Source organism: Homo sapiens, chromosome 8 (assembly GCF_000001405.40).
Source record: "Homo sapiens chromosome 8, GRCh38.p14 Primary Assembly".
Taxonomy (NCBI): domain Eukaryota; kingdom Metazoa; phylum Chordata; class Mammalia; order Primates; family Hominidae; genus Homo; species Homo sapiens.
Window position 1 is genome coordinate 140,283,375 of NC_000008.11, and position 25,232 is coordinate 140,308,606.

Below are 25,232 nucleotides of genomic sequence, written 5' to 3' on the forward strand. Positions count from 1 at the left end.
AGCTCCGCCTCCTGGGTTCACGCCATTCTCCTGCCTCAGTCTCCTGAGTAGCTGTGACTACAGGCGCCCGCCACCACGCCTGGCTAATTTTTTTTTTTATTTTTAGTAGAGACGGGGTTTCACCGTGTTAGCCAGGATGGTCTCAATATCCTGACCTTGTGATCCACCCGCCTCGGTCTTCAAAGTGCTGGGATTACACATGTGAGCCACCGCGCCAGGCCAAAATTCCCTATGTTTTTAAGGGAATTCCTAAATTCCCTAATTTTGTTTTCAAAAGAATTATGATTCCATAGGCTAATTTCACATTCTGTTCTGATCATGGTAAGAAAGATTTCAACTTTGTTCTAATTCATTTTAAGCAAAGCGTATTGATGTTGCTTATCTTACAGAAATCCTTCACCTATATTCTGGTCATAAGAATTACAGGCTCTTTGTGCCATTAAAAAAAAAAAAAATGTAGGACCAAAAATGATGCCTCAGAGCCACTCTGCTCTGTGACCCTCGTGCACACTACCTGGGCAGAGAGGTGCTGATCTGCAGTCTTGGCAACGCGGGAATGACTTCCACTGTGGAGCCACTGGTTTTTATTCCCGGCAGGTTATCCAGCAAACAGTCACTGAACACACCGAAGACCGTGGTATGGTAACCTGGAATAGAAAAGGAACTTCTTCACTCCACTGGCAAGGCTTTGGGTCTCACGCCCACGGCTGAAGCAGTGCGAAGAGTACGGGGCTCCTCTTCAGAAGACCTGAGTTCCGAAGCTGCCCGGGGCCCGCCGGCGCTCACCCACACTCCCGCCCTCAACCCCACGACCCTCACTGTCCTCGTACGTGATGGGGAGGATAACAGCATCTGCATTCCTGTTTCACAAGGCTGGCTGGGCCCAAATGAAAGACTATATATGTGAAGGTCCTTGTAAACTATAAATATCTACTTAATAATCAGTATCTCATCCCTTTACTCATTTGCTTTTCAGATTTATCCATCTCTAAAACGAGAATGTTAATATTCTTTCCCAGGACATAATGTGACTTAATGAGTATGTGAAAAATGCTTCAAAGCTTTCTGTTGAGAGATGAAAGTTCACACACGAGCCAATTGTTATTGTAGCTGCTGCTGATATGGCAGATGTGCTGTGTGTGTATAAGCACCATAATTTAAGATTAGCAAATTTCCCATGTTAAAAAAAAAGTCCACTGGTTAGATAATCACTTGAAATTGTTTAAGCAAAGCTTTAAAATGGCTTTTGAAATTTCACGAGATAATTATTATAAACAACATTCACTCTGTAACAAAATTAAACAATACCCCATGGCTAGATGCCTAGGGTGACAACTTTTCTGCATTCATATGAAACTATTCCATACTAAAAGGAGAGGCAGGCACTCCCTCGTGGGCAAATCAGGGACCTTACACAGCCTCAGTCAGCCCCGTGCTCACCTCCTGCCAGCTTAAAGCTGCCCTATCAACACAACTCCCATTCAGAGCAGCCACGCTTCCTCTAAAGTATACCTCTTCAAAGACGTCTTAAACTGGCAAACATTCTCCTTCCCAAAACCACATCTTGCACTAATGTCCTTTCTATAAAACCTGGTATGACATGGTTTTGTCTGCTAAGCAGCCATTATTTTGCAATTCTTAATTTAAGTCAGTCATTTTCCTTTTCTTACCTGTTGCTTAAAATAACTGCCATATAAACCCAAAAGTCTGAGGACAAATAGCACATTACAATGTCTGATAATACAAGGTCAGTCCTTTTGACCTTGTTCCCAAAGCGGGCTAAAAATGAACACTCACTAGTCTGGACCCAGGATAAACAACCAAGAACTGCGTGACTAAGGCTCTGACTCCTCAACTGTGAACACACTAGTTACGGTTATGTGCTATTCTGAATCAAGCCCTTCACTCCTCGTTACTCCTCTCTCATCCATTCCTATCTCCTATGCTCCACTGCCAGGCCACGGCTATGGGCCTACCTCTGTCCCTTTCTCCCTGGGTCATCGCTGAAGCTTGATCACTGCTGTCCCTGCCTCCAGTCCTTCCCATCTCAACAGGGATCCTGGATCCTGAGGGATGGCTCTGAACTGCCCACCTGACCACATCTCTCTTCAAATAACGCAGCAGCCCCAATGCCCTCCAGAGAAAGCCAGCATCCTTTGGCACCGTGTGTAAGAACCCAGGTCGGCCCTCTGCCTCCCTTCCAGCCTGTCTCATCTCTGCCACCCTGGCCTGGACCACCCACTCTGACCACCCCCAGGTCCCCCAAATGTACCATGTTCTCTCTTACCACCACGTTGTTCTTTCTGCCTGGAACCCTCTTTCTGCCCCCTGTGGACTCCCCCCACAGCCCACCCCCATTCATTTGAATAGTTCCTAGTTAGCCTTCAAGCCTCAGGGTCACTGACCCACTCACTCTCCCCGCTGGGTCCATGCCCAGAGTCATTCGCTCCCACGGCCACTCCACTCCGTATTCCCACTTGGGGCAGCACACCCTCACCTACGATTACACCTGCCTCACTCACCCGTAGGGAGCACCCTTCCAGCAAATGTTTGCTCTTCCAGGCAACAAACACACACTGAAGACCTACTGTGTGCCAGGCTCCACAATAGGCACGGAGCTGCAGCTGAGCGAGACACACGAGGCCAGCAAGGAATCTATTGCACAGAGTCAGGAAGGAGGCCACCGCACAGGGGCCTAGGCCAGCGAGCCCATGCCGAGGAAGGCTCCCGGAGGAAGGAAAGCCTGTGCTGAGGACTGAGGGAAGCCCAGGAGCCGGCCAGGGTGATAAGCACTCGATGGGACACAGGCAAAGCCTCGGAAAGCCTGGAAAGCTGCCAGAACTAAAGAGTCTTCGGAGACTGAAGTAGGAGGGGAGAGGCAGAGAGGAGGTTGCGGAGGCCAGCAGGAGCCGGACCACACTGGGCTCCAGAGCAACACTTAAGGACTGGGCCTTGATAACAAGGGCCTGGCGACAGCTGTGAGGCTCCCAGTTGAGAGATGTCAGGGGCATATTCACACTAGGAAGATCGCCGGGCCACAGATGGGAGGTGGGTCTGTTAGCAAGCAAGACCAGGGCAAAAACACCAGTCCCAGTGCTTTTGTGACAAACCCTAGAAGAGTTATGATCTGCAAGACCGGAAGGGGCAGTGGAGGTGGAGAGAAGCAGCAGTTCTCAGGAAGCACTGAGGGAGGGAGGTGGGGGTGCTGTGACAGACAGCGAGGGTCAGGATGACCCCCAAGAACCCGTTAGGGCAAATGGCTGATGGGAATGCCCGCACTGAGATGGAGGCTTGACGGGGGCAGGGGCAGTTTTGGGGAGGCGAGGTAGGGAGTTCTGATTTGCATGTATTATATGCGAGGCGCCCAGGGGCCAGCTGGGAAGGGCTGGAGGTGCAGGCTGGGAAGAAGTCCAGCCCTGGAAATCATCTGCACATTGGAGGAACTGGAAGACAGCAAGGCCAGGGCATCGGTGGGATCACCTAAGGTAGCCTGTGGAAGAGGAAGAGTTAACAGGGCCAGGGAACACAGGGCGAGAGATGGGGAAGGAAAGAAGTGGGGTGTGAGGAAGGCCTGACTGAGGAGTGGGCTGCAGAAGACAAAAGAGACCCAAACAGAAGGGCCAGAGAGGCAGTAAAACATCCAGAGAGGCAGGGTCACAGCAGCTAGAGCAGAGAGGCGGTAAAGTATCCAGAGGGTAGGCTCGCAGCAGCCAGAGGAGAGGGCATGCCTAGTGGAGGGTCAGCCAGGGACTCAAAGGGCACTGAGGAGCGAATTTAGAAACAAAACTGAAAAGTAGGCCCTGTATTTAGCCCAAAAAATACTGCTTGTGACAGGAGTTTTGGGGAAGTGAAAAGGGCTGAGTCCAGGATGTAGAGGGTTAAAGGCCCTCTGCAAAGGGGAGATTCAGCGTGTGTAGACACCCTCTGAGGAGTTCCAGCAAGAAGGAGCAGGAGGAAGGAAGGCTCACTGGAGGAAGACAGCAGAAAGGAGACGAAGCAGAGGGAGGAGGGGCATGGGCAGTGGGGTCAGAGCACAGGAAGGACCCCTCCCACCACCACACATCCCGCACCCCACGAACAGGTTTTTTTCATGCTTCCCAAAGAGACAAGGTCTTCATTATCTTCTAACTGGTTAGGACTGGCATGACGGGCGATCGGCTCTGGACCTCATGGAGGCCATGCAAGGGTTCAGCAGACCCTCCTGAGCAGGAAGCATGAAGGGACTCTCCTTACCGTTCACAGTAATCGTTCCAGTCGTCTGCGGGACCCCGACGAGCGTCACTGGGTACAGACCAGATTCAGCCGGAAGAGAAAGCGCCGCAGGGAGAGACTCGAACTCCACTCCGCTGGTGAGCAGCCCCTAAACCAAGCGACGCAGCATCGTAAGCCCGGAGCAAACCTACTGTGTGTGCTCAGTTCCAAATGAGCCTTAAGACATTGGCTATGGCACATCGGAACTGCTGGAATAAAATCACCAACAGTCTTCACAGAGAACTTCGGAGACAGTGTACAGTGTAACACAAAACCACCTAAACATGGTAAGCACTGCAGGTGCTCAGGCGATAAACCACGGATCCACTTGATTTCAGCCCTGTTTGCTGTCTGATATTTATCATTTTACCAAATGGGAATGTGAACACAAAGAGAAAATATTTTATTTATAAACAAAAATAAATAAAAACATGGCTGGGCATGGTGGCTCACACCTGTAATCCCAACACTTTGGGAGGCCAAGGTGGAAAGAACACTTGAGCCCCAGGAGACCAAGACCAACCTGGGCAACACAGTAAGACCCCATCTCTACAAAAAAAATTTTTAATTAGCCAGGGAAGGTGGCACGCACCTGTGGTCCCAACTACTTGGGAGACTGAGGTGGGATGATCACCCGAGCCCAGGAGGCTGAGGCTGCAATGATCACACCACTGCACTCCAGCGTGGGGGACAGAGTGAGACCCTATCTCAATCAATCAATCAATAAAGTGTGGAACTATACCACCAGTTAATATCCCTGCCACACATCTGTGAGTTATCAACTTATTTCGGTATGTACTAAGCTTACTAGTACAGGCACTAAGCTTGCTAGTGAACAAAACAGGCAGATTCCCTGGCCTCAAGACGGTGGCCCATGATTGGAAGCAGTACAGGTATGTCAGCCCTCAGGACTTCTCAGCATTGTAACAGAGGTCCTACTCAGGGCACTAAAGCAAGAAAAAGGAAGAAAAGTCATACAGGCAATTACTCACAGAAAACAAAACCAGGGTCAGAAAACGCTATGGAATCTACAATGAAACTTGAACTTTCGAGTACATTTAGCAAAGTGACAGAGTCAGAAAAAAAAGGCGTTATTTCTATAGTTTAGCAATAAGCAATTGGGTAAAATATCATTAACAAGCGATCAAAACCGTCAACTACATTAGAATAAACCTAACAAATGACAGGCAAGGTTTCATAACAGTTACAGAACACTGCTGAGATAAAGAAGCCCTGGGCGAAGGGGGAAATCCTGGATTCTTTTTAGCGGGTTGGTTTTCTGCAGCAGTATGGTCAAAGCTACCCCGCAACTATCTCAGATATGACAGGACTGAGCATCTAAGTAGATGTGCTGATGTTGGGAGCCCGAGTTCTCACGCGGGAAGAAAGGACACACACAGATGGAGGAAGGCAAGCACCCTCTGGAGAAGTGCTGGAAAGCGAGGGTCCCCGTGAACAGGGCAGATGCTACATGCATGTCTATGGTGCAGACGCAGGGGTATACACATGTGTACATATATGTAGGCATATGGGTTTAGATATATATATAGTGTGTGTGTGTGTGTGTGTGTGTGTGTGTGTGTGTGTGTGTTCTCATGTATGTGTATATGCACACAGACTTTTCCCAACTCTGTCTACAGGAAGCACCCAGAAGCAAAGCCACTCTCTCGGCAGTGAGTACACTTAGTGCCCGGACTTGGAGCCAAGGTGTGAAATGATCTATGTGTGGAACAGATGCAGCAGGCAAGGGTGGAAGCCGAGGAGCCAATTGTCTCTAGGCAAATATATTGGCATTTATTTCTTTTGAAAATAGCTAAAGCAATATGGCCAACTGTGAACATTTTTTAAATGTGAATGGTGGAGATGCGAGTGTGTACTATTCCCTGTAACATTTCATAGGTTTAAAATACTTCCTAATTTAGTTTTTAAAACTTTGCCCATGATTTGTGGGCTATCTCCATGTGGTGCTTTTTATTTTGTTCCCTGCTCTTCCTCATTTGTTATAATAAGCACATATTGTTTTTAAACCAGATAAAAATGAAAGCTACATTTTAAGACCAAAAAAAAAAATGTGTAAGAAAGAGCAGCAGGCATTTGATACTTTAACCACTTTGGGGAAAATTCTCTAAACTGCTTCTCCCTACTAAGGCTGAGACAGAAAGCCACAGGAAAGGCCAGAGCCAAATCCTACTGCAGGTCAGTCCTCGCCCAACAGGAGGAGAGGCGCTCCTCCCGAGCGCACCTCGAGACTACAAGCTGAACATCCAGCTGAGCTTCCAGGAGCTCAGACAGATTTCGGGAAACTATGCCACGTGCTAGAGGCCTAAACAGCATTTCAACAGCCACCACGTGTCCACCTGGCAAACTGCAACTCAGCCTGTACTCACAGCCAGGCTGTCACATCTGTCCCAGGAACCCTTCCCTGACTCTCCAGGGCCAGGCAGACTCCCGTCCACAACAGGCCTGCAACACCTCATGCACCCCAACAGAGCCTTGGTCACAGTCGCAGCAGGGACCAGGGCCTGACCATCTCTGTCCCCTCAGGGCCTTGCCTGGGGACCGACACGTGGCAAGAGCACTCAGCGAGATACATGCATGAAAGGCCCGCCTCTTACCCTGAACACCAGTCATAAAACTCTAAAAGACAACATCCATTCTCGCAGCACCCTCCTTTGCGTGCTGCTGAAAAGTTACACAGCAGCACCACACAGCAATGCAGAGAAGACTTGAGGGATGGGACCTACATCGGCATGGGAGGGCCCGCTCTGAAAACACAGAATCAGCTTAGAGCGCCAGTACTAATCTCCTTCCCCCTGACTAGAGAATTGGGTAAGCATTTCCAACAGAAGAGATTACAAACTGAATTTTTCACACCCTACACAAAGCACAGAAATGGGACGTCAGGATTTCAAAACAAGAGAAAGCTCGTGGTGGTGGTGGTGTGGTCATTTATCCTCCCATTCCACAGCTTGTTCTTCCCTGGGGCCTTGGTCATCTTATCATCTTGCAGCAATAAAATAATGCTGATACCGTTGAGTAGCAGGCAGAATGGGGACTTTGCAACCTCAACACATCTCACGTAAGCTTCGAAATTATTATTTCACATCTTATACCCAATCAACTAAGCTCGGCATGTGTTCAAATCAGAGGTTTCTTTGTAGGTTCAAATATTTATTGAAAACCAAGCCTAAAGACACAGGAATAACAAAACATGGTCTTCATTTACAATAAGCTTATATGCTTTGGCAAAACAAACATAAAAACAGACACATATCGTAAGATGTGTGCCTCAGACATTAAGTAAAACCTACTTTAATGAGAAGTTTGTATGTTAGCCCAAAAAGGTCAAATGATTGGTGATACATACCATGTTTTCAACTCGAAGTTCAAACGGCATTGGGTTATATACCATCAGCTGAACTTCACACACATCTCCTTGAACCCACTGGAAATCTAGAAAATACACACACATAAATGAATCCATGTATTAGTTGGTATTTTTTCACTTTCTACATGGTTTCCAATTATTCCTCTGGCAATTTACATTCTCAGTGAGGCAGCAGGCTCTATGATCTTCTTGAGATGGGTGATTCAAAGCTGCTTTTTCCACCAGCTTTCTCTGAAACAAAGCAAGGTAGCTGTCACTGGCACTTTGATGCCACATGAATGGCGCTTGTCACTGCCTTCGGCGGGCTGCATTCATGCTGGCATCAGTCCAGATGGCACTGTTCTTGGTACAGAGCCATAAGGCACACTGCGCTTCACGGGGCCCAGAAGCTGGCAACACAGGAAGACGGCACTGGGGTCACTTGTGAGTAACACGGAGTGTGATTTGCCCTATTCCCCTAAGATTGTGAGAGGGGAGTCTTCTCCTCCCCACCCACTCCCAGGTCAACTGCAGTTCAGTACCTGTGCAGGGGCAGAATTCTGACGACCTCCAAAACCCCCAGCCTTGGTGTGCACAACCTGGTGTGCATGCACTATGTAATCCCCACCTTCAGTGTGAATATGATGATTAGGCTATATTGTAAAACAAAGGTGGAAAGTTTTTGCAGATGTGATTGAGGACCCCAATCCGTTGACTCTGAGTTAATCAAAAGGAAGGTTGTCCTGAATGGGCTTGTTCTAATCAGGTGAGACCGCACAGGAGACCATATCCTTGCCTAGAGGGCCTGTGGAGGGGACCACATGGCAAGGGCCTAAGAGCAGCCTCTGGGAGCTGAAAGCAGCACCGGCAGACAGCTGGCAAGAGAACGGGGATCACAGGAAATGAATGAAGAACGGCCTGAGGAGTCGTGAGAGCAGGCCCTTCCCTTAGTTGAGCCTCCAGATGAGGACACAGCCCCAGATGCCACTTGGATTTCAGTCCTGTGAATCCCTGAGCAGAGGACCCAGCTGAAGCCCACACAAATCATGAGGAAGCAGATTTGTGTTGTTTGAAGCCACTGAGTCTGTGGTCATTTGTTACAAAGCAACAGAAAGCTAATTCAGCATCTGTCCCAATTTCCATCACCCCCTCCTCCCTTTACAATCCTCTCTTAGGCAAACCAGAAGGAATTTCAGAATCAATCAACAGGTGGCAGGCATGTGTTAGGTGTGAGGCACTTCCACACAGGTTATCTCATTACTCTGCATAAGGACCTCCTGAGATAGGTATGATAACCCCCGTCACTGCAAGGCAAACACTCAAGGTCCAAACAGGGTAATAAATTGGCCCAGGAACCACACAGCAAGCGAGAGGAGCTGCTGGATTCAGGCCTCTGAACTCAGAGGCACCCCGAGCAGACACGGGTGGCTAACAGGGCAGTGGAGGGCTTCTTCTCTAGCAGATAAGAACGTCTGTTGACCAGAATTATTCAACTTTCAGAGCTTTCATAAGCATGTTCTCAAGATACAGCTTTTCCCACACACTCTGCAACCTGCACAGAGATGAGGACTGACTCCACCACACCTATGACATCTGACCCAGAGCTGGCATGTTGACATTGCATAAATTCCCTATTTAATAAATGGTGCTGGGAAAACTGGCTAGCCATATGTAGAAAGCTGAAACTGGATCCCTTCCTTACACCTTATACAAAAATTAATTCAAGATGGATTAAAGACTTAAACGTTAGACCTAAAACCATAAAAACCCTAGAAGAAAACCTAGGCAATACCATTCAGGACATAGGCATGGGCAAGGACTTCATGTCTAAAACACCAAAAGCAATGGCAACAAAAGACAAAATTGACAAATGGGATCTAATTAAACTAAAGAGCTTCTGCACAGCAAAAGAAACTACCATCAGAGTGAACAGGCAACCTACAAAATGGGAGAAAATTTTCGCAACCTACTCATCTGACAAAGGGCTAATATCCAGAATCTACAATGAACTCAAACAAATTTACAAGAAAAAAACAAACAACCCCATCAAAAAGTGGGCAAAGGAATCAACAGACACTTCTGAAAAGAAGACATTTATGCAGCCAAAAAACACATGAAAAAATGCTCACCATCACTGGCCATCAGAGAAATGCAAATCAAAACCACAATGAGATACCATCTCACACCAGTTAGAATGGCGATCATTAAAAAGTCAGGAAACAACAGGTGCTGGAGAGGATGTGGAGAAATAGGAACACTTTTACACTTTTGGTGGGACTGTAAACTAGTTCAACCATTGTGGAAGTCAGTGTGGCGATTCCTCAGGGATCTAGAACCAGAAATACCATTTGACCCAGCCATCCCATTACTGGGTATATACCCAAAGGACTATAAATCATGCTGCTATAAAGACACATGCACACGTATGTTTATTGCAGCACTATTCACAATAGCAAAGACTTGGAACCAACCCAAATGTCCAACAATGATAGACTGGATTAAGGCCATGTGGCACATATACACCATGGAATACTATGCAGCCATAAAAAAGGATGAGTTCATGTCCTTTGTAGGGACATGGATGAAATTGGAAATCATCATTCTCAGTAAACTATCGCAAAAACAAAAAACCAAACACTGCATATTCTCACTCATAGGTGGGAATTGAACAATGAGAACACATGGACACAGGAAGGGGAACATCACACTCTGGGGACTATTGTGGGGTGGGGAGACGGGGGAGGGATAGCATTAGGAGATATACCTAATGCTAAATGACAAGTTAATGGGTGCAGCGCACCAGCATGGCACATGTATACATATGTAACTAACCTGCACATTGTGCACATGTACCCTAAAACTTAAAGTATAATAATAATAAAATTTAAAATTAATTAATTAATTAATTAATACAGTGCCCACCAGGTGAGCTAACAGCTCCCCTAATGCCTGCACCACCATGTACTCATCTGAGCCTCTGCACAATGCAGTGAATGGCCACAGTCTATGTCAGCAGCACAAATGTTATGCCCGTTCTACAAAAAAGGAGAACCCACCTGACAGGCTGGCCCGCCTGCCTGTCCTATGGTCCTGAGAAGCAAGAAAACTGAGATTCGAACTCCAGTCTGTCTCCAAAACCTACACTCTTTTCACCCTACTGCTTCACCTCTCAGGACCCCAGAAACTCAGGTCTTGTCCTTCCCTCATCCCAGCTTCCATGCCCCCCACCTCCCAGGCCCACCAGCTTCTGAGGACCTTCAATGGGAGGGAGCTCACCCGACCTCCTCATTTACACAAGTCAGTGGCCAGAGCACAACATGCTCCCAGCCCGCCTGACCCCGCCTCACCCAGCCTGCCCGGGGCCACTGATGGTCAGCATCCCAGACCACTCCTCACCACAAATGAAGAAGGTCACTCTCTTTAAACAAGTGGCTAACGTCTGGTAATTAAGAAATGGCTTGCCCTATCATGGTCATGATGATGATGATGATGATAATAAGCCATTTGAAAAATCATTTTCTAGAGTACTAAAAAAATAATGTACACTTAGATGGTCCATGTCTACTAAAGGGTAAATCTAAAATAAACTGTTGATTACATAAAAATTTATTCTTCTTTTTTTTTTTCTTTTTTTGAGATGGAGTATCACTCTGTACCCAGGTTGGAGTGCAGTGGTGTGATCTCGGCTCACTGCAACTTCCACTTCCCGGGTTCAAACGAGTCTCCTGCCTCAGCCTCCCAAGTAGCTGGGACTACAGGTGTGCGCCACCATGCCCGGCTAAATTTGTTTGTATTTTTAGTAGAGACAGGGATTCACCATGTTGGCCAGGCTAGTCTCGAACTCCTGACCTCAACTAATCCCCCCCACCTTGGCCTCCCAGAGTACTAGAATTACAGGCGTGAGCCACCACACCCAGCCTGAAAAGTGATTTTTGCTGAAAGAAGGAGATAACCCCTTTCCATCCTCAGCATGTCAAAGCACACGGTGGTGGCCCTTCCTCACTATTTTGTCCTAGAAGTAGTGGGAAGGCACAAGAATTAGCCTCTCTGAAACCCCCTCATCTCAGGCCCTGCCCTCCCTGTTGCGGGACACACTGTGCATGCTGTCATCTGTGGACCCACGGCACCAGGCAGTGGCGTTTATTGACAAGTTCGTCTCTTTCTGCTAAACTGTATGGACCCATGTGGCGGGAAAGACTCCTGATTTATCAATGCATCCCCAGCACATAGCACAGGGCATATAACTGCTACCAAAAATGTTACTGAATGGCTGCCAGGGACTTTAGAAACATTATCTCCCTTGATCCTCAAAACCACCCTCCGTGTCAGCTTCTAATGTCCCCATTCTGCAGATAGCATGACTGCAGACCACAGAGGCACAATCAGCTGTCCACGGTCACACAGTGGGGAGCTGCAGGGCCAGGGTGCAGCCCAAGTCCACCTGACAGCCACAGCCTCTCCAGGCCACCACGCTGCCTCTGGGGCAGCAGTCGACCTTGGCACTAAGCCTGGCAGCACCACAAAGACCTATCACAAATGACAGAAGGCCTTCAACCCAACACACTCAAGCTGAGGCCAGTGTTGCAGTCATCTTTGCATGGATGTAGCTCAGATGATGGCCACACCAGCCAACACACAAAGACTCGTGAACTATCCCAAGTTAAAGTGGAAAATGGTCTCAAACACTACCCTCAAGAGTTTCTTCATCTCCAAAACCCTATGCCACCTGCTGTGATGATACCTCCCCCAATTATACACCGAGGTTCATTTAGAGAGACTGGAAATTTAGGTTAAAGTTATGTGATCTGTCAAGCTTCTGCACAAGCACTCACTGATCAGTACACTGCCAAAAAGATATTAGAAGCTATGGGATATAAATTGCATTTTCCTACCAAACAAATAATGTGCATTTTGGCTGAAACTTGCGTTATATCTCAGAAAAAAATCTTACATCATCCACTGAATTTGTCCTCAGCCCAGATGAGCAGGTACTTCTTACTATGGTGAGAAGCCATACTATAAAGAAAAAAGGCCCTGGGCATCGAGTCCTGCAACCTGGCATGGAGCCCGGGGAATGTCACTGATAAGCTATCTGACCTGGGGCAGGTACTTAAATTTCGTTCAGTCTTAATTTTCTTATTTGCAAATAGGGAATATAATAATGCCGGCAGCATCAGCATCAAATAGTTTTGAGAATCACTGGATAATGTTTGCTTAAGCCCTCTTCAACAAATACAGATTGTAATTTTCACAAAAGGAATCTTTGACAATGTCTTTTTATTTGTTTTTTGAGGTAGGGTCTTGCTCTGTCACCCAGGCTGGAGTGCAGTGGTACAATCTTGGCTCACTATAGCCTCGACCTCCCAGGCTCAGGTGATTCTCCCACCTCAGCCTCCCAACTAGCTGGGACCACAGGTGCCCGCCACCAGGCCTGGCTATTTTTTTGTATTTTGTGTAGAGATGGGGTTTTGCCATGTTGGCCAGGCTGGTCTCGAACTCCTGGGCTCAAGCAATCCACCAGCCTCAGCCTCCCAAAGTGCTGGGATTACAGGCGTGGGCCACCACACTCGGCCAACAATTTCTTAAGATTGAAAAGGAAAAGCAGAGAGGCAGGGCCTACAATCCATGCCATCAGTGGCACAGGGCCCTGTGCCCTGGCATCTGGGTTCACGCTCTGCTGTTGCTGTCTTCGAATTCCTAGTGATGTTTGAACAAAGGCCCTATGTTTGCATTTTGCACTGGGCCCCACAAATCACATGGCCCATCCTGAGAAGAGGAGTCTCACACCTCCAGTCTCCTAAATCACCTCTGGAAGTTTTTCTCAACGAAAGAACTGAAGCTTTCCTCAAAAGTTCCGTAGGGGAGACAGTTCATCACCAACCCCAATGAGAACACAAAAGAGCAGCCAGAGACTCTAGAAGGTCCCAGGGGGAAGAGCCTGAGCACTCGTAGGACAGCAAGTCCGGGGCCAGGGGAGACAGAGGAGCCCTGAGGGTGGCCTGCCCATCCCCACGGAGCTCGGAAGACGCCCTCCAGAGAGGAAAGGTGGAGTTCCCACAGGAGGCCAGGAAACGACGTCCCCAAAACACAGTGAGGACAGGATTTGTACAGCTCTCTCCTGCTTACCGCAACACACGCTGGAGCACATCTGGGGCTGCCATCAGGCCCTGCCTGTTCATCCACCACGTCTACCCAGCGCCTACACTTCCTGTCACCTCATGTTCTCCAGATCAGAGAAGCAGTGGCAGGAGAGACAAGATTGGGGTGTCTTTCAGAATCAATAGACTAAAAATGGCATTTTAAAAACGCATACACACACACACATGCATGCACACACTCATACACACACATGCATAGACACACACACATACACGCATACACACAATATACACATGCATACACACATACAGATGCATACACATATACACACGCATACACACACATACACACATACAGATACACACAAATTCTAGAGTAGATTATATAGTTAGTGCTCACATTTTCAGAAATTTTCCAAAATACAGTATTGACTGCAGTTTTTCAAGGGCATGACCCCATGTCTCTTTATTTTCTTCTCATTCTAACAGTGAACAGCTAGAACAGCTGGAGCCACTCCTTGCAAAGCCCACACGGCTCCTCAGATGGAGGCTGTGTCTGAGCCTCCAGAGGGCTTCCCCAGGGTCTGCGGGGCCCCCACCCCACACCCCACTCCCAGTTAGCCCAGTGTTTATTGTTCATTCGAGTTCAACGTGTAAGTAACCAGGTACCCCTGCTGACAGATGTACAGTTTTAGAGAGCGTTTATTCACATTTAGTCTCGATAGTCAACTTCTCACGTTTGTGTCTTGCCTGCATGAACTAAACTGAAAAACCAGCCGAGGGTGAGGACTGTGAGGTCCAGGTAATAGGTCTGTCCCACACCTACTGTGCACGTGAGAGGAAACCATAGGGTACTAATGGGAACAGGACACGTGGTCTGTGATGTGAAATCAAGCTTGTCACTAACTGAGTAACTTTTAGTTACTTCTAAAAGTCGTTTCTCTAAGTTTGTTTCCTCATCTGTAAAAGGGAGATAAAAATGAAATCTCCCAAAAATACTGGAAAAACTAAATAAGGTAACATATGATAGCCTCTTATAAAGCACAACTAGAATAAAAGAAATGATTACCATTTTTAAAAGCACAAGGTTCTTTGAGTACTCCTACCCTAGTTATGCCCTTTATCTCAGCAAACAACTTTATTTCCTCTGAAGCACTTTATTTTTTAAGGCATTCGGATAATTTACAAATTGTTAATGAAGTTTATTATGAGACCCTTACAGAAGCTAAGAAATCCTAGAGCTAGTAATATATGAGAAATGCTCATCAAGACAATGTGCTGGCTGGACGCAGAGGTCCCCACCTGTAACCCCAGCTCTCTAGGAGGCCGAGGCAGGGGATTCACTTGACCCCAAGAATTCGAGACCAGCCTGGGCAACATGGCAAAACTCCGTCTCTACAAAAAATACAAAAATCAGTGGGTGTGGTAGTATGCACCTGTGGTCCCACCCACTCGGGAGGCTGAGGCAGGAGGATCAACTGAGCCCAGGAGGTTGAGGCAGCAGTGAGTCCTAATTATACCACTGCACTTCAGCCTGGGTGACAGAGCTAGACCCTGTCTCAAAGAAAAAAAAAAGATGATGTGCTACACGTAATGCTCTTATTGTCCCTTCTGCCTTGAATTCCACCATGCCCTGCCAGGAACATGAAATGTACAGTGAGATCTAGGTTCTCCTGTGAGTTCTTGGACATGACACTTAAACGTCGTGAATCAGTTTCCCCGTCAACAAAATCTATAAAATGGGATTCATAATATGTACCCCATCCATTCATTCATTCTTTTGTCACTGCTCCAGGTGCTGGGGAGACAGCAGCTGCACACAGCCTGACAGAATTCTGGGCTTCAGGTGATATTGCAGGACAAAGCATCAATGGGCCAGTGTGGGTTTGAGCTGGAGAGAAGCTGGGAAGAGAATCCCAGACAGCACCGCTAGAGATGGTGGGAGGAGTGGCCTGCAAGGCGCTGGGATCAGAGAACACCCCTCTGAGGGAGGGGGCATTTGAACAGAGACCAAAAGGATGTGACAACAAGAGAGCCAATGATAGAGGGGCAGGGGACGAGTTCCTGGCAAAGGAAAGAGCGAGCCCCAAAGCCCTGGGCTTGGAACAAGCCTGTTTCTTTCCACGACCAGAAAGGAGTCCCTGTAGCTAAACCAGAGTGATGGTGGCAGGAGGTGGCATGAAAACCCCGACAGAGCGGGAGGGGTGTGGGCAGGGGGGGGTCAGGGAGCGCCTGCAGTCCGTAACTCGGGGTGTGGGTGAGCTTGCGAGTGCAACAGGAAGCCTCTGTCCTGGAAAGAAAAGCATGGTGGAAAAAGGAGCCGGAATGCCTTCTTCCTAAATTGGAGGTACAGGAATTAAGAGTAGAAATAAAGAAACAGAAGGAGAAGAAAGCACTGGATATCAAACACAGAGCGCCGCGGTTGCGCAGGCCTCCCGCTCACACTCCTCGGAGGCCCCGGCAGTCGCCAAGCAGCGGCCAGCCTCCAGGCCCTCAAGGTTCTGTCACAGGACGTGTGGGCTCAGCCGGCAGTGGTCCCCAGTGACTGGCAGTCACAATCTCCTGCAAGGGGCCTCGGGCATGTCTTTGTGGCAGCAAGGGATGGGGAGCTTGGCACTACAGCCGGGCTTTGGGAAGGACACCAAGGGACAGGGCCGGTGGTGCATGCTGAGCCCTGGTGCAGGAGGGACGAGAGCTCAGACACAGGAAAGCTCAGGAGAGATTGTCCACTCCCAGTCTCTCCCACAACACAGCTTAACCCAGGACTGACTATCCTGATCACCTGTGTTCACAAAAGAACATAACACGATTACCTCACCCTCCACTCAGTCCTGAACACCATCCAACCCTGAATCTTTCTCTGATGACTCAGAAGTCACTTCAGCCCTTGTAAAATCAGTCTACATCTCCAACTGTCACTCTTCTGTAGTTCACATAAGTCTCAGTTAACAAAAGTCTTTCTGGTTTCCAGAACTTTCACAAAATTACCTTATATGAAATAAATTTTTTAAAATCACATCTATGGGCAATTGCCTGCCAAAAGCAGCAAATCAAATAAACTTCCATGACAGACTGCACACACGCACACACACGCACACATCTGTGCACACATCCACACATGGACACATGTAAACACACATATGCATGCACGCACGCATGCATACACACATACACGCACATATGCACGCATGCACACATACATATGCATGCATGCACACATGCACACACATATACACACATATGCATGCGTGCACACATCCACGCACGCACACACATGCACATGCATGAACTGGCTCAAAATGCTGTTCTAAAAATCTAGAAAAGCCATTGGAAATCAGGTGGCAGAGCACGGTGGGAAAGCCAGGATCGACGTCCTACCTATTTTCTTGTTCCGCTCTTCTCCACGGTTGTGTGCGATAATTGGTGAATAGATGAAAGGACTTTTGGTTGACACGTTCTGACCCAGCAAGCTTTTCATTTTGTGTGGCCGGAGGCTAGCAGGAAGGTTCAATAGTTTCACATGCCTGTTGTTTCAAACAGAACACAAATACTTCAACTGTCTGGTTAGCGTGGTTTCAGGATAAACATAACCAAACATGATGTATCAGAAAAACAGTAAATCAGTCAGAAGGAAGATAAATGGAGGGAGGAAAAGCACTCCGAGGCATCAGGACACAGCAAGGAAGTGTTGCAACAGTAACTCAAGATTCTCCCAGACAGGGGAAATCACTCCCTGGAACTGGGGGAGCAGCCACTTCCCTCTGGGGACTCCTGAACTGGGCCCAAGGATGGTCTGGAGTCAGAAAGGCCAGCTTGAAATCTCGCTTCACACTTACCAGCTGTGTGCCTTTGGGCACGTGCCTTGCCATCTCTAAGACGTAGGTTCCTTGTGTATAAAGTGCAGGTGGGGCCACCACCTTCCCCATGGACCCATGGGGAGGATCCAGCTAAAGACTCCTGGCACAGGGCCCACTGCCTGGCCCAGGATGGCTCTTCTCTCTCTGCCTCTCCCTTTCCCAAGGGACCTGCCCACAGCAAGTGGCAGCCAGACTCTGACCCATGGGAAGAGATGGCACCCATGAGAAGGTCAACAGCACCCTCTGCTCTACTCGCATGCAGCAGCATCTGTATCTGTCATCGCTTCCCACAGTATCCCAGCTGTGGATGTCTGCCAATCTGTACTCATGCTCGAATTCATCCAGCTAGCATTAAGATAAATTTACCAATCCATGGAGTCTGAGCATGAGCAGGCACTGTGCTAACCACTGCATATGTATTCTCTCACTTAAACATCACAAACACCTTCTTAGTTTGGGTACTATTACTATTGTCTCCATGTCATCAATAAGGAAACTCACGCAAGAGGGACTAAGTATACTGTCGCAAATCCGATGGCTGGAAAGCAGTAACAACAGGTGACACTATGCTCTTAAACCACAGTACTAGAAGGTGCTGTCACCCTTGTGACCAGTTTGGGAAGACGGTGGTTAAGATCTGGAACACTCCTGGACGTCAGACAGAAAGGACAAGGAGCAGAGGTGGGAAAACAGGAAGACTGATAGTGACACTGATCGTGATAAATCTACGTGCTCCCCACCCCCCGCCTCCCGGCCTCCGCAGGAAGGTGAGGCCACCTGAGGAGCTCTGGCCAGTAGGTTGTGAGTGGGAGCCACCGAGGCCTCTGTGAGACACACACTTTAGAGTGACGGGCCAGCCCCCAGCTCTCTCCTTCGGCTGCACGGCCATGGTGATCCTGGAGGCTGGACATTGAGAAGGTGGAGCACCAGACAGATGCGGCCTGGAGCACTCAGCAACCTCCCAGAGCTCAGCTGCCCTGGAGAGCCACCCAACCCACACCAAACTTGTGTGAGGGAGGTAGAAACTGTTGTTACAGTAAATCACGAAGATTTCAGGGTTAATTTTTCTGCCACAGTGCACCCTAACCTATACTGCATAATAACAACTGCCTTACAGAATCCACAAAATCACCACCTCTCTCAGTGAGGAGGGACCTCAGATGCCTCATTCCAGCCTGCTCTGTGCAAAGCATGCCTACAGCACTCGGCAGACAATCCCCACCACAGACCCACATCCCAGCCCCGGGGAGCCTGCCACATGCGTGGTTCTCACCCACCACCCTCAGTGACTCACGGCAGGAGATGGTGCTAACCCCGCGCCCTCCAGACCAAGGGCACACCCAGCAGGTGCTCCCCAGCTCCCTTCGCTCTGTGTGTGCCCTTCATTATGCCTTTATCATAGCGGATCAGAACCATTTCATTCTGTATCTGTTTCCACTCAGCTGTGAGCCTGCTGAGGACAGGGGCACCAGGACCTTATCTGTCTGTAGCTGCAGAACTAATAAAAATTGTACTTAGCCTATGAAGCTGCCAACAGCAAAGCAGAAGTCCAGGGATAAAGTGTCCAAGACAAGGATGATTTTGACAGATTCCATCTGGAAACTGCTGACACCGTAAAAACCTGACTTCCCTCAGGAACAGCAGCCGTCAGGGCCGCGCAGAGCACCGCAGAGCGCTGATCAGGAAAGCGACGCCAGACGAACCGGTCGAGAGGAATGACAGTCAACAACCACTCACCTTTTGTTTCTTGGTATTTAATTCATCAATCTTATTCACAGGGAAACATATCCAAGAAGAGATGGGTGGGGACTACGACTGGCCTCAAGTGCCTCGTGTGTATGACGGCGTGGAGGCTGCTTGCTCCGAGTCCGGAGCAACTGAGAGAGCTGGAGAGGGCAACCGCGCCAGCTGTAGTAGCAAGGTGGGGCCAGCCGCTCCCATCCTGAATGCTGCTATACATTTCTTATCAGCTCCAAACAGCTCTGGTTTAAGAAATTCTTAAGGAAGGTTATGGCTTGGCCGCTAGACCATGTATGGGAGAAAATCCTGGACAGTGGCATGAACACAGTCATGGAGGCTGCATCCTGATTGGTGTCTGGGAGTCCGAAGCACGACCCTGAATTTGGGCCTCTAAACACCTCTCTGAATAAATGCCTAGAATCCTTCCTCAAACGGTAGAATTAACTTAAAAGTTTAAGTTTTAAACGTATCAAAGCAACTCGAAGCTCACTCTCACTAGAGGATTTGGGTCTTTGTTCACGTAAACGCCTTCATTAACTCTTAAGCTCTTCTCCAGGTTGAAGGAGCTCAATGTTAGCTCTTAAAAAAAAATATTCAATGAGTCCCACTCCCCATCACTGCCCCCAAATTAAAGACTCACTGGTTAACTGGAAATGGCACTGAAACTTTATTCCACTTCCTTAATAATAATCCAGGACTTACAGTGTGTTAATAATCTACACGCTTACTAGGGGCCTGATAGACTACTGTTGGCTACTGTGTACACACTGTATCATTTTTGCAGAGAATTCCATAGATAAGGAAAAAAGATCACTTATAGTTCTATCAGAACCATCCTCTGCTTTAACTCTGGTCAACAGCAACAGGATGTGGGCTTGGCTGCCTCCTGGCAGATGAGATCACGCTTGGCCACTACCATCTCTTCGCAATTAGCCTTGGGCCAAAAGCGCGTCTTAGGCACTCAACAAATATTTTATTAATTGAATTTTGGAACACAATTAAAATAGGGATGTATTTTGGCTCCTTTTTCATTACTTGCATCGGAATTACTTGAAACCATCTTTGGGTGAGCCTAGTTCATGCTCCCATGCTACAGAGAACAAGTAAGTATTTTCCTGTATATTGCTAAAATAGTTTTATTGTCAAATACTAAGAAAGGCCTCAAGGGAAAAGAAAATGGCTCTGACCATCTATTCTAAAACCAAAGTCATAATTATGAGCCAAACCCAGCAGTAAATTCGTTTATGTTTAACGATTCTATATAGCAGGTCTGATAATTTACTCACCAATGTAGACATTTTTCAACCAGCTTACCCTGTAACACTAACAGGAGCTTTAGTCTTCAAGTGTACATATTACTGAGCTCTTCTTATGTCATAGGGGCTGACCTGCAATGCCTGACTTAATTTTTTTTTTTTTTTTTTGAGACAGAGTCTCGCTCTTGTCGCCCAGGCTGGAATGCAGTGGCATGATCTTGGCTCATTGCAACCTCCACCTTCTGGGTTCCAGTGATTCTCTTGCCTCAGCCTCCCAAGTAGCTGGGACTACAAGCACCTGCCACCACGCCCGGCTAATTTTTGTATTTTTCGTAGAGACGGAGTTTCGCCATGTTGGCCAGGCCGGTCTCGAACTCCTGACCTCCAGTGATCTGCCCACCTCTGCCTCCCAAAGTGCCAGTATTACAGGTATGAACCACCGTGCCCAGCCCCAATTTTTTTTTTAATTAAACTGGTAAAATCCATGTTTCCGGGCATAGGACGTTGAAGTGTTTGGTTGATATATGAAGACAGTCCCGGATTTGTTTCCTAAGGAAGCACCTTGGCCTAATCCATAGCTACTGCCCAGGCCTTCCTTCAGGTGGAGATGAGGAGCAAGGATTTAGGAAGAGGGGGACAACCCTACATGTGATGTGGACATTTAACTACTGCACACAGATTCACTGCAGGCCTGCCACGGACCAGGTGCTGAGAGCATTAACAACACGAGCCCGCTCCCCTCAGTCAGCATCGGCAGACACCTACCAGCTCTTCTTGATGCCTGAGAACATAACTCTGGATTCTCTGTTGCCCAACTCCTGCCAAAAGCTCAATGGCATTCATGAAAGAGTGTGTGATGCACAGCAGCCCACCCGTTATCCTAGATGCTGGCAGCAGGGGGGCTAACGCAAGTCAGTCAACAGCAGGCCACACCGCCCTGTCCTCTGGGAGAGCCACCTTCATCCCCTGGTGCTCCGGTCCCATGCCCTCAGTGTGCGTTACCGAATGCTAACAGCAAAACAACATCAGACACCTGCCTAGATCTTCATGGGGATGTTGCTGAGCATGCTACTCAAAACATCAGAATGTTCTCTTCGAGAGAATCCACTAGAGAGGTTTCCCAGCTCACTGCTGGGAAGAGATGCATTTCCCCAGTGTGACTGATACATGCCTGTTCTTGAGAGGGGGGCTCTTGTAGTCAATCACGCTTCCTTCTTGTCAGTTACCTCACAATCACGCTCTCTCCCATCTCCAGCCATTACGTAGGACATTATGAATTCCAGGTACTAACAGAACTTGTTGTTAGTTTTCTATCCCACTGTTACTTTCCCCTCACTCTGGTTACCTTAACTTGTTCTTTTTTTTGAGAGAGAGAGAGAGGGAGTATCGCACTGTCACCCAGGTTGGAGTGCAGTGGTGCGATCTCCGCTCACTGCAACCTCCGCCTCCTGGGTTCAAACAATTCTGGTGCCTCGGCCACCCAAGTAGCTGGGACTCCAGGCATGCACTACCACATCCGACTAATTTTTTGTATTTTTGGAAGAGATGGGGTTCCGCTCTGTTGGCCAGGCTGGTCTCGAACTCCTGAGCTCAGGCAATCCCCCTGCCTCGGCCTCCCAAAGTGTTCACATTACAGGCGTGAGCCACCGTGCCAGACCCAGGAATTTTTTAAAATAACTAAATAGCTACATATATGCATTTCTTAAGGGAGTGATGGAACTAATTCATTTGATTTAATTTAACATGTACAAACAAAAGTAAAAACTGACAGGGAATGGTAAGGTGACATCTAATTAGAGGCAAAATTCCCTGAAACCTCTATAAGAACTCATGTCTGCAAAGAGCTTTTCTGCTTATAAAACAATTTCCCAAACATTTCATTTGATCCATGCATGGGAGGTATGTCTCATCAACCTCAGTTCAAGAAGAGGAAGTTAAATCATTTGTTCAAAGTCACACAGCTAACTGCAGAATGCGGGATAGGAATACAAGACTACTGAACAAAAGCCAGTGGCTTTTCCAATTTTACATGAAGGGGGTTTATTGGTGCTTGGCATAAATATGTCAATGCATTTTAGTTACTATCCTTCCTTTCTGAAACCTACAGAGATGCGTACACATCAGTATCCCTCACACATCATCATGACAGTCTTAGAGAAGGAAGTGGCATACAGTCTTTTCTAGAAGTATGGCCCATGGCATATCTTGGGGGAAAAAAGATCTTGCTTTGACAAGAAAAAGAAAAGTGCTGGAGGCTAAAGAATTATGGAGACCAGGCGTGGTGGCTCATACCTGTAATCCTAGCACTTTGGGAGGCCAAGGCGGGTGGATCATGAGGTCAAGGGTTTGAGACCAGCCTGGCGAACACAGTGAAACCCTGTCTCTACTAAAAATACAAAAATTAGCCAGGCATGGTGGCACGCACCTGTAGTCCCAGCTACTCGGAGGCTGAGGCAGTAGAATTGCTTGAACCTGGGAGGCGGAGGTTGCAGTGAGCCTAGACTGCGCCACTGCACTCCAGCCTCAGCATCAGAGCAAGACTCTGTCTCAAAAAAAAAAAAAAAAAAGAAGAAGAATTATATGGAGCAAGGACATCACATCTGTCCTAATTCTCCCTACTTTCAAATGGCAAAAACTTAGAAGAAAGGCATGAAAAGCGAATCTGGACAGCACATTAAAGCGTGCACATTTTTATCTATGGGTGAAAATTAGTCTCATATAAAACATGAGCCTATTTATTAGTAAGAAGAGAAGCATATAACCAGCCCTCTGCATCAGAAAGTGCCACAAGTCCAAGGAAGAGAACATGCAGTTCATAAAGCGTGCACTTGCTTCAAGGTTGCACTTTTCCAAGGTATGCTTTCTGACTTGGGAAGGGCAGATATTCATCAATGCATTATCTTGACTCATAGGCATTACAGGTCACAAACCGAAACCAGGACTTTTGATCTGAAGCAGTGTGGTGGGATGAGTGGGCCTTGGGTGTCATTTGCTATTGTGTCCTTGTCTGTTGCCTCCCAACACCCACTTGCCTCTTCTCCTGTGCCCAGCTATTCGTAGGTTTTGCTTTAGGGGAACTACACACGGTCTCCTTGCAGCCATGTGGTTTGCAGGGACTCGGTCCGATCTGAGTACATAACTCCATGAGGGGCAGTGAAAAGCAAAAGGACATTGTCCCCCTGAAAGAAAGCAGTGTTCCTTTACAGGTGTTACTAAAAGGCACCTGCTCTCTTTTCCTGGACACAGTAGCAAGAGGATGTGAGGCCTGGAGGTGATGAGCCACTCTGATAGCACCTGGGGCCTGCAACTAAAGCCAACACTGCAGCGGACAGAGCTCAGAGGGAAAGAAACCAAGTTTTGATGAGGTTGTTTGAGCCCTGACTCCAGCCCTACCTGAATTCCTCCCTGAACTTTCCAGGTATATGTGCCATAAATTATTTTTGCCTAAGTTAGCCTGGTTTCTATCAGCTGCTATTACAAAATATTCTAAGGGATCCAACTATTTACTCATTCAACACACAAGGTCACCTGGGGGCTACAAAGACAAAGAAGAGAGAAGGACCCAAAATGTCAACAAAGATGTCCAGTCAAGTTCCATAAGCGCTACAGAAGAAAGATATGGCATACACTGTTGGCTGGCTGACCAAGCACGAATTTCTGACCCCATTCTCCATTCCCCACCTATATCACAGATTCTAGGAAAGCTAAATATTTATTTTCTCAGCCTGTCTTGCAATTAGAGATGGCCATGAGACACACTTCCTGTTAATGAGACTGGGGCAGAAGCCTACTCGAATCTGTCAAGAACATTTTTGCTTCCCTATTAAGCAAAAGATAGACATCTCTAGACCTGCCCTGTCTCCCTTCTTTCTGCCTTGGATGTAGATGTGTTATCTGGAGCTGCAGCAGCCATCTGGTAATCTTGAGGTAAAGACAGAGTTACAGAGAGGCCACCTGTTTCCGGCTTCTTAATAAACTAGAAAAATATCTTCCTATTGACTATCTACTATTAGGTCTTCTGTTCTTTACAGCTGAAATAATTCCTAACTTACAAAGAAAGTATAGTCATTTCTACTTGGGTGGCTCTGGAAAAGGCTTTATAGAGGACATAATCCTTGAACTAAAATCGTGAAAGATGACTAAGTGTCATCAGGCAGAGCAGGGAAGCACAGGCATTCCAAGCCAGAGATAAAGCCTCAACGAAGGAACAAAACCGGCCACACATTTGGCCCACTCTAAGTATTCCCACAAGGGAAAGCAGGAGCGTAGGACCAAGGAAATAGGGCGCTCACAATCAAAGCTGGAGACAGGGCAGGCCACAGAGGCCCTGCAAGCCATGCAAAGCAAGTACATTAGAGTCTGTTCTCTAAGCGGTGGGGAGCAGAGTAGGCTACGAGATACTCCGGCTCTCCAAATGTTCCAAAGACCTTCCCTTTCATTTGACCGGTCGTACTGAGGTTCCGTGGGTTTACCACACTGAATCTCAGGCAGTTCTTCTTCCCAGTTTTCAATGAGACCAGGTACGATCCACGTGAGGAAGGAGTCACCAGGACACTTAGGGGTTACTTCTCTAGCTAAAGTCTTCAGAAAATCATCACGAATATGTTTATGCAGATGGTGGGTCATACATAAAATTAGATTTTTGAAAACAGCCCATGGCCAG

At 47.6% G+C, this 25,232-nt stretch overlaps 1 protein-coding gene across 18 annotated transcripts in view, besides 4 other annotated features; it reads right to left on the minus strand.

Annotated features, from left to right (window-relative positions):
* Positions 1-25,232, minus strand: part of TRAPPC9 (trafficking protein particle complex subunit 9) — a 730,855-nt gene that overhangs the window by 555,650 nt on the left and 149,973 nt on the right. For all 18 annotated transcript variants that reach the window (NR_164662.1, XM_011517326.3, NM_031466.8 and 15 more), the window contains 4 exons: positions 17,095-17,240; positions 7,619-7,704; positions 4,234-4,360; positions 515-647 (listed from right to left, as the gene is read on the minus strand). Coding sequence is in view for 17 of the 18 variants with exons in the window: in XM_011517326.3 (XP_011515628.1) it covers positions 515-647; positions 4,234-4,360; positions 7,619-7,704; positions 17,095-17,240 (492 nt within the window). In the remaining variant the exon portion in view is untranslated. The remainder of the gene's footprint in view (positions 1-514; positions 648-4,233; positions 4,361-7,618; positions 7,705-17,094; positions 17,241-25,232) is intronic.
* Positions 15,679-16,179: an enhancer, noted in NCBI's record as "H3K4me1 hESC enhancer chr8:141309152-141309652 (GRCh37/hg19 assembly coordinates)". NCBI's record gives its function as "activates a minimal SCP1, AML or CMV promoter by ChIP-STARR-seq in primed H9 embryonic stem cells {active_cell/tissue: H9 hESC(primed)}" and the evidence as "EXISTENCE:reporter gene assay evidence [ECO:0000049][PMID:30033119]".
* Positions 16,180-16,680: an enhancer, noted in NCBI's record as "H3K4me1 hESC enhancer chr8:141309653-141310153 (GRCh37/hg19 assembly coordinates)". NCBI's record gives its function as "activates a minimal SCP1, AML or CMV promoter by ChIP-STARR-seq in primed H9 embryonic stem cells {active_cell/tissue: H9 hESC(primed)}" and the evidence as "EXISTENCE:reporter gene assay evidence [ECO:0000049][PMID:30033119]".
* Positions 18,849-19,349: an enhancer, noted in NCBI's record as "H3K4me1 hESC enhancer chr8:141312322-141312822 (GRCh37/hg19 assembly coordinates)". NCBI's record gives its function as "activates a minimal SCP1, AML or CMV promoter by ChIP-STARR-seq in naive H9 embryonic stem cells {active_cell/tissue: H9 hESC(naive)}" and the evidence as "EXISTENCE:reporter gene assay evidence [ECO:0000049][PMID:30033119]".
* Positions 19,350-19,850: an enhancer, noted in NCBI's record as "H3K4me1 hESC enhancer chr8:141312823-141313323 (GRCh37/hg19 assembly coordinates)". NCBI's record gives its function as "activates a minimal SCP1, AML or CMV promoter by ChIP-STARR-seq in naive H9 embryonic stem cells {active_cell/tissue: H9 hESC(naive)}" and the evidence as "EXISTENCE:reporter gene assay evidence [ECO:0000049][PMID:30033119]".